The sequence below is a fragment of the Homo sapiens genome, chromosome X (genome assembly GCF_000001405.40).
Source record: "Homo sapiens chromosome X, GRCh38.p14 Primary Assembly".
Taxonomy (NCBI): Eukaryota; Metazoa; Chordata; class Mammalia; order Primates; family Hominidae; genus Homo; species Homo sapiens.
This window is the reverse complement of record NC_000023.11, coordinates 72,940,150-72,951,012: the sequence shown is the minus strand read 5'-3', so window position 1 is coordinate 72,951,012 and position 10,863 is coordinate 72,940,150. Positions and strand designations below refer to the sequence as shown.

At 46.8% G+C, this 10,863-nt stretch overlaps 1 protein-coding gene and 1 long non-coding RNA gene across 5 annotated transcripts in view; both read left to right on the top strand.

Annotated features, from left to right (window-relative positions):
- Nucleotides 1-7,175: 7,175 nt before the first annotated feature.
- Nucleotides 7,176-10,863, top strand: part of DMRTC1 (DMRT like family C1) — a 71,813-nt gene continuing 68,125 nt past the window's right edge. For all 4 annotated transcript variants that reach the window (NR_170342.1, NM_001386924.1, NM_001386923.1 and 1 more), the window contains exon 1: nt 7,176-7,438. The gene's annotated coding sequence lies outside the window, so the exon portion shown is untranslated. The remainder of the gene's footprint in view (nt 7,439-10,863) is intronic.
- FAM226A (family with sequence similarity 226 member A) lies at nt 7,263-9,285 on the top strand. The gene has a single exon (NR_026595.2). It is a non-coding gene; the product is annotated as a family with sequence similarity 226 member A (long non-coding RNA).

Sequence of the window (10,863 nt, the reverse complement as noted above, 5' to 3'; positions counted from 1 at the left end):
TTACATCCCAAAGGCTGGACCTCACACAATGCCAGGCCTGCTTCCTGCCCCCAGGAACAGACCCCCCCCTCTTATTTGCTGACCCAAAGCTCATGAAACAAACCCATAAAGCCATCCATAGCAAACGTTATCGTTTTAAGGCCGTGGGTTTCCCTCTATGCTGTCCAGGTCCAGATCAAGGGGATGCTGATGTATCAGGTCTGGTCCCAGGCCCATGATTGCAGGTCAGGCACCTATCCAAATGCATGTGCTCCTATTTGTTTGCCTATGCCCACACAGCATAAGCAGACATAATACCCCACATAATAAAGGAACCTCCAGGTAAACCTGAGAGTGGCATGTGCCAGTCTCCTAGATAACTCCCGCCTGCTAAGCTCACTCTTAGAAATCTCGCCTGCACATTGCTAACACTGCTCTTCCTCACTCCACTCACTCCTCAGCCGCCCCTGCACTCTGTGGGCTGTCAGAAATTGGTCCATTCCCCCTCCCCCGACACTATTAAAAACTCCTACAGGGGGGCTCCTTATCCTGTATATATTTCCAGGTGCTCCACTCCCTCCCCCACACCTCCCTCTCCCTTCCTCGGGGACGCCCCTCACTTTAACTACCCCCGGGTGACTAATACACCTTTGAAATACTTGAGATAATTGCTGGCTCTGGTGTGGAGTGTGTTGACACTGATACCTTTAAAAGGAGGGGAGCAGCAGACCTGGCAGCTAGCCAGGTCATCGGGCTGTACCACCGTCAATAGGAGAATAAACACACTGTGATGTACTCGTACAATGGAATACTACTCAGCAATAAAAACTAACAGACTGTCAATGCACACAACAACAAGGATGAATCTCAAAAAACGTTAAGTTGAGCAAAAGAAGCCTGAAAAAAATGAGCACTGTGGCTCAGTTTCTATAAAGTTGCGGAAGAGGCAAAATTAATCTGCGGTGATAGAAATCAGAAAAGGGGTTGCCGCTGGAGGGATGGGTGGATACTGACTGACTGCGAAGCAACGCAAGGGAACTTTCTGGGGCGATTGAAGTCGTCTCTATTCTGATCTGTGTGACAGTTACCAAAGTGAATGCATTGGACAAAAATCAGCCATCTCTATACTTAACCATTTGGATTTGTGCATTTTTGTGCATGTAATTTATGCTCCCAATTTAAAGTGCTGCCAGTATAAGAAAAGGAATAAAACAAAAAAAAAATTGCTACCCCAACTTTCTTTTTGTTTTATATTGTTTTCCACACTTTTGTTCTCAATCTTTCTGTTTTTTATTTTTATTTTTTATTTTTTTGATGTAAACGTGTTTCTTGGTTCTCATTTTAAAAATCCAACCTGAGGGTCTCTTTTAATTGGTGAATGTAGCAGATTCACAATTACATTTACTGTAATTATTTTGCATTAAGACTTACTCACGCTGTGTTATTAGGCCATATATGAACAACCCATAGCCCAACAGCCTGAGATCTATTTGGAAGCTTCAATGAACAGAGCTGGGATGGAACTATATGGGTGACCCTTGTTTCCTGACCAGGGTCAAACTGAACTTGCCAGTTGAGAATTTTCTTATGGACGGAACAGAATAGGACATGCAGCTAATCTTACGCATTTCTGAATAGTAAGAACTCAGAGGGGAACTTGCCATGATGTAAATTATGTGTATGATAAAGATATCCTAATTAGAACAGTGTTGTGCTGGCTCTTGAGATAAATAGGTCAACAGAAAAGAACACAAAACCCAGAGACAGACCTTTGCATGTAGGGAATTTGATAAGTTTAACATTTGTTGGCACTGCAAGTCAGTGTTGCAATGATGGACATTTGATAGAAAGTACGTACTTCCAACCCCCCAAATAGAAAGCCCCACTCCAAAGGTGACCACTCTTAGGCCGGGCGCGGTGGCTCACGCCTGTAATCCCAGCTCTCAGGGAGGCAAGAGGCGGGAGGATAGCTTGAGCCCAGGAGTTCGAGACCTGCCTGGGCAATATAGCGAGACCCCATTCTCCAGAAAAAGGAAAAAAACAAAAAACAAAAAACAAAAGACAAAAAAAAAAAAAATAAGCGTAGCAAAGGTGACCACACTTAAAAGGTTGATGCGTATCCTTTTAGACCTGTTCTATGCTTTTACACTAGTGTATTTTTACCCACAGAAATGTATGATTGAGTTTTGCTTTGTCTGACTAAATGATGACAATCCTATATATTGTTCCTCAACATTTTAAAACTCAAGAATAGATGTTTTTTCACGTCATACCTGTAAATCTTCCTTAATCTTTCAACTTACACATGGTAGTTAGTCACAGTGTAGTTTTTAAAAGCATTCTCTTATTGATGAATATTTCTGTTATTTTCAATTTTGGTAACCATTATATACAAGACAGCAATGACAATTCTTGCACACATCTCCTTGTGCATAGGATTGGGTGGTTCTCTAGGATTAGGGTTGCCAGAGTTAGCAAATAAAAGTACAGGAAACCCAGTTACATTTGAATTTCTTAGCATTTAGTAAGTGTTTTAGTGTAAGAATGCCTCAAATATTGCATACAGGACACACTTACACTAAAAAAGTATTTGCTGTGGATCTGAAATTCAAGCTTAACTGGGAGTCCATTATTTTATTTGGTACCAATATGAAGGATGAATACCTATAAGTGAATTTTTGTTGTTGAGTGTATACGCATTTAAAATTTTACAGCTGATTGACAGTCTTTACAATTGTGTTTTGCCATATTTGATATGAATCTACTTAAAAATGGATTTGCTGTATGTTGGGTAAATAATTGTATCTCTTTGTCGTTTTATGAGTATTTCCCTGATTGTTGGTGGGATCAAAGAATTTTTTTTTTTTTTTCGATTCCCCTGCCTCAGCCCCCTGAGTGGCTGGGATTACAGGCGCGCACCACCACGCCTGACTAATTTTTGTATTTTCAGTCAAGGCAGGGTTTCACCCTGTTGGCCAGGCTGGTCTCGAACTCCTGACCCCAAGAGATCTGCCCTCCTCAGCCTCCCAAAGTGCTGGGATTACAGTTGTGAGCCACTGTGCCCGGCCTGAAGATTTTGTTTTTTTTTTTTTTATTATTATACTATAAGTTCTGGGGTACATGTGCACAACATGCAGGTTTGTTGGCCATCTGAATTTCTGACTCTGGGGAGTAGGTCCATAAGTTTTGCCCGTTTTCTACCTTTTCTTTACTTTTTTAGAGCGGGCCAGTGTGAGCAGTGTGTGGGGCGGTAAAGGGAGGCAGGGCATAGGCCTATGCTGCTGCAGAGAGAAGCAGAGAGAGAGCATGAGGAGAAGGAAGCTTGAATGCGTCACTCAGCCTGAGTATGCCTAGCAAGCACACTGCTCTCAGCTTGGGTCATCCTCTGGTGGCCCCTCTTCAAAAGTGTAAAGCATTTTGGCCTTGGCTTTTCCCCTTTCCTTGGCCTGCAGAGGCCCTCTCAGGTCTGTCTGTGGACAGAGTAGTGGATTGGATAGCTTTTTGAGGAGGTTGGGTGACTTTGTCGTGGGGAGAACAGAGAACAGTTGTGAACAAATACTACAGTGGGGAGCGTTCCAGGGAACAGAGCTCTCCTTCACCTCACAGGCTAAAACCCTCCACATGGCCAGCAGTTGGGTTCAGCGGGCAATGTAGAGAGGATTCTATAGTACTTACAGTATCTTAATGAGAGTCTGCAGCCAAAGACTCACCAAGGACAGTTTTAAAGAAATCTGTATGATTCCCACTACTGTGTGTTGCAATGATTTCTTTTTTCTTTTCTTTCTTTCTTTCTTTTTTTTTTTTTGAGACAGAATCTCTCTCTGTCACCAGGCTGGAGTGTGCAGCGGCACGATCTCAGCTCACTGCAACCTCTGCCTCCCAGGTTCAAGCGATCCTCCTGCCTCAGCCTCCCGAGTAGCTGGGACTACGGGCACACGCTACCACGCCCAGCTAATTTTTGTATCTTTAGTAGAGACGGGGTTTCACCACGTTGGCCAGGATGGTCTTGATCTCCTGAACTCGTGATCCGCGTGCCTCGGCCTCCCAAAGTGCTGGGATTACAGGCGAGAGCCACTGTGCCCTGCTCATTGCAATGATTTCTAATGCATATCTCTTGTTTGTGTTGTCTGCATTTTTCCAGGCTTCTTTAAATATAAAAAGCCCTTATGGAAGCAAAACCATGTGAATAATTTGATCGATAATGACAAGACGTTTGATGAAATTTAAAGTACATTTGCAAACAAGAAGAAGAAGAGGAAGAAGATGAAGGAGGAGGAGGAGGAGTCGGCGGCGAAGGTGAAGAAGAAAAGAAAGCCTGCTAGAAAGTTTGGTTTAGAGGGAAACATCTCCAGGTTGATAAGTGGTATGTGAGTCGGGGCCCAACCAGGAGACGGAAACCGTGCAGGTTATTTGGACAGAGCACAGTGAGTAGAAAACATGGCTAAGTGGTAGAAGGGGGTTACCTCCTAAAAGGCACAAAAGAGAACTTTAAGGGGTCCAGGAGTAGCAGTTGCAAAAGAGCAGCTACTACCTCTAGGATGAGGAATAGCAGGCAATAAAGGAGTAGGAGAGTTCACCGTTCCTCCCGAGCTGAGAATCAGACCTCTTTGAAGAGGATGTAGCTGCCAAAAGAACTTGCAGCCTGCCAGTGGTGTCGAAACTTACCAGAGAGTGTGGGCCTTTGCTGGTCTGTAGAAGAGACCACCAAGGCAGGAAGGTGGTGGGTGGTGGTGGTGCATGGGAAGGCTGGAGCTGCTCAGAGGCAACTGATAGTGGGGAAATCATGGTCTGGAGGTGCAGCTGGAGCTTGTCTGCACTGGTCTCTGACCTCCTTCAGTGAATATCATCAAACGGGAGACTGCTACTAGCAGGAGGGACGAATTTTCCTGCTGGGATTCGTAGGGTCACCCCCAGTGCTCTCTATGGCCAGAGCCTAACATTCTGTTAGCTGGCATAGGAGAAAGACTCACAAGGATCATCTCTAGTGTGACAAAGCAGGGCAAAGAAGGAGTAACTTGGACCTGACAGACAACACGTTGATAAATGTCACAATCGGTATCCAAAACCAACAACATATTTAGCCCCAAATGAACGGAGTCCTTCCCGTTAAGAGTGGGAACAAGGACAACAAAAAAGTTTCACATCACCGCTATTAGCTAACAGGGTACCACGGTCCTAGTCAATGTAATAAGAAAAGGGAAAATGAATACTGTATTAATAATATGCAGAGACTGTGATTGCCTACCTAGAAAACGCGCGAGAATCCACTGAAAAAGCATTCTAATTAAGGAGAGGGGATATTAAGATGGCCGTATGCCCCAAAGTATACAAAACCAGTAGGCTTCCTATATGTCAGAAATAAGTAATTAGAAGACATAATGGGAAATACACAATTCATAGCAGCAATGAAACTAAAAAGACTGCCATGGACAAACTTAAGAATTATGCAAAAGCTATATAAAGCAAACTAAAAGGTGATTGAAGTACCCTGATTAAAGAGCAGAATCAATGGAAGAACATGAAGAACATGCTATATTTTGTGGCTGAGGACCCTCCATCTTCTCATGTTAATGAGATGTTAATTATTCTCATAGTAAACTATAAGTCCTAAGAAATTCTAGTTAAAATTCAAGCCAGGGAATTTTTTTTAACTTGAAAACTTTGATTTTGAAGTTCTTACAGATGACGACATTTTCCAAAATATTTTGAAGAAATTTTGTAAAAGAAGAATAGTGAGGGGGGAGTTAGTTCTACTCACACAAAAACAATTTCTAAATCTTTATAGCAGAATTAGCAACAACAGAATTTAGATCAATGGAAGAAATTTGAAGTGCAAGCGTGGACATTATATGGAAATTTAGTACGTGTTATTTCGAGGTATAACAATTGCTGTATAAAAGTCGACCGTAATCCCAGCACTTTGGGAGGCCGATGAGGGCGGGCCTGAGGTCAGGAGTTCAAGACCAGCGTGGCCAACATGGCAAAACCCCGTCTCTACTAAAAGTACAAATATTAGCCGGGCGTGGTGGCGGGCGCCTGTAATCCCAGCTACTCAGGAGGCTGAGGCAGGAGAAGCTTGAACCCAGGAGGCGGAGGTTGCAGTGAGCCAAGATCGCACCACTGCACTCCAGCCTGGGTGACAAGAGCGAGACTCCGTCTCAATAGCAGCAATAACAACAACAACAACGACGACGACGACGACGTCGACCGTTTTGTTATGTGTGAGGAGGCTATACTGGTTACTGTCTAGAAAGGTTAGGATGAAAGAAAGGAATGCTAAGTTGTACCACGATACAATAAGAGAATGCACTTGCTAGGGTGGAGGAGTCTTCTTGCTATTTATTTGCAGGCTTCCTAGGGGCTGACCTCAAAGCAGGAGTCGATTTAAGGTCCCCGAATCGCAGATGAGAGGTGAAATGGGAGAGAGCGCTCTGTAGAGAAAGGATGAGGCGCAGTGACATGAGAGTAAGAGAGGCAAGAAGAGGATGTCATTATGGGAATGGTGGTTTGCAAAGTTAGATTACAATTAACAATAACTTTCCAGACTGTGTAGGAGAGAAAGAATACGCAAGAGAACTGATGTTGTGCACCCCAGATCCACTGATCATAAAGAAAAGGAAACACATCTTCAGTTCTCCATGGAGGTCACTTGTTTCCCGGGTCCTTCCTCCACATCTAGATGACCACACAGGGTGCAAGCAATGTAGATGCGATGTACACTATAATAATGAAACGAACGCAAAGGAAAACTCACTAAGTGCTTACTCTAGGCCAGGCACTGAGCAAAGCAACTTCAGGTAGATGATCTGAAGAGGAAGCTGCAGAGGCAGCCGCTGGACAGAAATGCCTACGCTCTTAGGAGCCTTCTCCACAGGAGAGAAGGAGGGATACGAAGATAATCCAGAATGATCGGATTCATCACAACAACAGGTAACAGTTATTAAGCGCTTACACTGGGCCTGGCTTTTAGGCTTATGGTCTCTTTCAAGCCTCACATGAGCAGCCCCACCTCTGGGAGCAGCGCCCCCGCATCCCTCAGGCTGTAGCCTGCGGTACTGTTTTCTGCCAGAAGAGGCACTGCGGGGCGGCGCCCGCCCATTCCCACAGCTCCGGGAAGACCCGGGCGGCGGAGGCTTAGCCCCCTCCCCTCCCGCTTCTTCCTCCTCCTCCTCCTCCTCCTCCTCCTCCTCCTCCTCCTCCTCCTCCTCCTCCTGCTCCTCCTCCTCCTGCTCCTCCTCCTCCTCCTCCTCCTCCTCCTCCTTCTCCTCCTCCTCCCGGTCTGAGGGCGGCGGTCTCCGACTCAAGACCCTGGGGCTCCGGGTCTTCTTAGCAGCCGCCGCAGCAGCCGCGGCGACGTCACTGTCCTCTCGGCCTGGCACACAGCGCTCCGGCCGCCGAATGCCCGTGGACGCGCATCTCTTCCCAGAGTTCCTGCTTCCTGGGCCAGCCAAAGCCGCAGGTGAGAACGTCCGCGGTAGAGGTGACACCCAGGGCCTGCGGGTCTCAGAGGCCCGGTGGCCTGCTCCTCTCCTCCTTGCCCAAGAAACCCCCACGGGGGCGCCTGCAGCGGGGACACCAAGTGCTCCCCGGAGCCCTGGGAGCACTTCTTCTGAGGCATGGAGCCCCTGCTCAGGTGCTTCTGAAAGTTCCTTTGTGGACCCCAGAAACCCCTAGGCAACTGTCTGCCCCGCCCCGCGCCCCCGCCGCCCCCCGCCCCCGCAGTACCCCTCCGGCCCCCGACATCCCTGATGCGCATGCCCAGGGGCCCTGTGAGCTAGAAAGTAGCTGAGCTGGTGCAGTACCTGCTGGTTAAGAACCGGAAGACGGTGGCGATCAAAAGGGCAGACATGCTGAAGTATGTCATCAAAAGGTACAGGAGCTTCCTCCCTGAGATTTTCAAGAAAGCCTCTGACCTCCCCGAGTTAGTCTTTGGGTTCTATCTGAAGGAACTTGATCCAGCAGAGCACTCCTATGTCTTGATCAGAAAAATCGATCCTGCCCTGGTTTGGGGCCTGACAGGCGACCAGGGCACACCAAAGACCCGGCTCCTGATGATTACTCTGGACTCGATCTTCATGCAGGCCAGCTGTGTCCCCGAGGAGGTGGTCTGGGAGGTGTTGAGGGTGTTGGAGGCACATTTCGTCTAAAAAGCATTTCGTCTTTGGGGAGTCCATGAAGCTCATCACCAAAGCTAGTGTGCAGCAGGAGTATCTGGTGCACAAATAGGTGTCCCACAGCAATCCCACGCTCTAGGTATTCTTGTGGGGGCTCTCAAAGGAAACAAGACAGATGGAAGTCCCGGAGTTTGTGGCCAAAGTGAATGACACCCACCCCAGTTCCTTTCCGTGGCAGTAAATGAGGCATTGAGAGAAGAGGAGGAGATACCCCGTGCCCGAGATGGCAGCTGCCGTTGGTGACGTGACAAGTGCCAGTGTTAGTGCCAGTTCCAGTTCCAGGGCCTATGCCATGGCTGAAGCAAGCATCAGCACCAGCACCAATGCAAGTGCCAGTTGCCAGTGCCAGGGCTAGAGCCATGGCTGGAGCAAGTATCAGTACCTGGGACAGTGCCAGTGTGGTTGCAATCTCAGGCTAGTGTCAGGGACTCCTCCTGCCAGCAGTGAAGGCTGGGGCTGAGTCTTCACTTTGTTTTGCTGTGGGTAGTCAAAAGGGCCCCACAGCAGTGGGTGCTGGGGTCCTGACTTTTCAAGAGTCGAGGGGTAGAGTGGGGTTAGGGAGAACCTGCCGCCCATGGTATCTGTGTTCCAGTTCTATTTGTCTTTCTCAGTGATTTAGCTTTCAATTTGCATACTGCAAAGTTTTGTTTGCCTTAATTAACTTTCTTTTATAATGATGATCATTTTACAGGAAATAAACTGGTTAAAACTACATGATGACAGAATTATATCAGAGTTGAAACAAACGCCATACCTAAGCATTTTTTTCAAAATCCTTTGTTCCATAGACACTTGATTGAGTACTTAAGTTGAACATCTAGGTCTATGAATGACGTTGGTCAAATGTTTTATTGTTCTCTGTTTCGGTTTTAGCAGGAGAGATTTGCTGTTTCATAAAAGAAATTGGGAGAGTATATCATTTTATGCCTGTAACTTATTATAGCATTGGAATAAGCTGTTCTTTGGAGGTTTGAGAGACTTTACCAGTACAATCATTCCCCCCCTCCCCCAAATATAAAAAGATAAAATAAAAAGCCGGTCAGTGTCTGTTGCACAAAATTACAACCGCTCTCTGCTTGTATTTGCCTAGTTCTCCAGAATGTAGGGAAAAATAAAAATTCAATGAATTAGACACCTTGCTCATCGACTCATTTATTCAACATACATTTACTGACTACCTACTATATGTGAGGCACTGTGCCGGGCGCTGGAGATAGAGGAATGCACCAGACTCAGCCTCTGCCCCACATCTGAGAGTCTAGATGGGGCTGTCATGTAAGTAAATCAGCCAGATGTGGCAGTTTGATGTATTAATTGCCGGGATGAGGATAAGGACCAGGTGGTATGGGAGCCCGGAGGAGAGACACTTAACCCTGGGTGGTGGATGTCTGGGAACAAGGAAGGCTTCCTTGTAGTGAGATGCCATCTGAGATCTGAAGCACTGAAGGAGTAGTAAGTGCAGTGTGTCCCCGAGGCAGGGTATTGTGGGCATCGGGAGCATTCCATGTTCTTCAGTGGAACTGGAAGGTTAGAATTTGGGGAGACTGGGGAGAGATGATCTGGGGGTGGGGACCTGTACAGGAGCCAGGATCCTCAGTTGGTGGACTTCACAGCTGAGAGATTAAAAAATAATAGTAATAAAGTAAACGTGTAGTGGAAAGTGACTCTTTGGAAAGCAGCTGCTCTTGGCTCTTGGATGAGCCAGAGAAAAGACTCCACCTGTGGCATGCCTAGAAGCTGTCCTGGCCTCCTGTCCCTGTGCAGTTTCTACAGTGCACACAGCAGGTGCTTTACATTCAGCATCCGTAAGGAGTGATGGGCAAGGGGGTAAGTGTTGCACTCACCGGAGCTGATTCCCAGAAGCTACTGAGCAGATGTTCGCCCCTGAAGCCTGGGAGAGACAGAGCTCAGTGGGTTATATGACTACGGTTAGTTGTTGTTGTTGTTTTAAGAAACAAAGGCCTAGATGTTAGAATGGATAAGTTATCCTGTTTATACAGAGGGAAAACTGTTTGTAGGGGTGAGAGATAAGTCTAGACTAGCCTGGAGCGAAGCCAGGAAGAGCCTTGATGGCTCAAACCTGATTTGGCTGGCCCAGGAAGCTATGGAGGTTTCCTGAGCAGGGAAGGATCTGATGAAGGCCAAACCCTACCAAAATTACAGTGGCCAGCACCAGCGTGGTTTTCAAAGGACCAGTATTCTCCATGCCTTAGAATGGTCCTGGTGGGTATAGTGATCATAATAACTAGCCTAAAATTATCTTCAGTTCTTAGAGATTGACATGCATGTTTTACATCCCTGCCCGTTGGCCTTGCAAAGCCTTTTTGTGCCCTTCGTCACAAACACTGTGGGATCCTGGCACCAGTTCTCTCAGGGCCTACCCTAGGATATGTAGGATCCAGAGAATATTACACTGTAACCCCTCACTTGCATTCCTCTGCTGGCGTCAAGGAAAGGCTGGAGGTGGTGGTGGTGGTGGGGTGGTGCAGTGGGGGTGGGGGTATCATAATGTGAAAACATGCAATCTGAGGTGAATGGGGAAAGGGTTTTGGAAGGGCTCTGTCTTAGTTTGGGGTGGGGATAGTTGGAGCTGATTATGTGTACCTCAATCTGAGGCCTTTCCTCAAAATCCCGAGCCGCCTGCTCTCCATTTGAAGCCAATAAACATTGTCAGTTATGAAGGGTATATGCATTTGGGCAGGGAGAGATG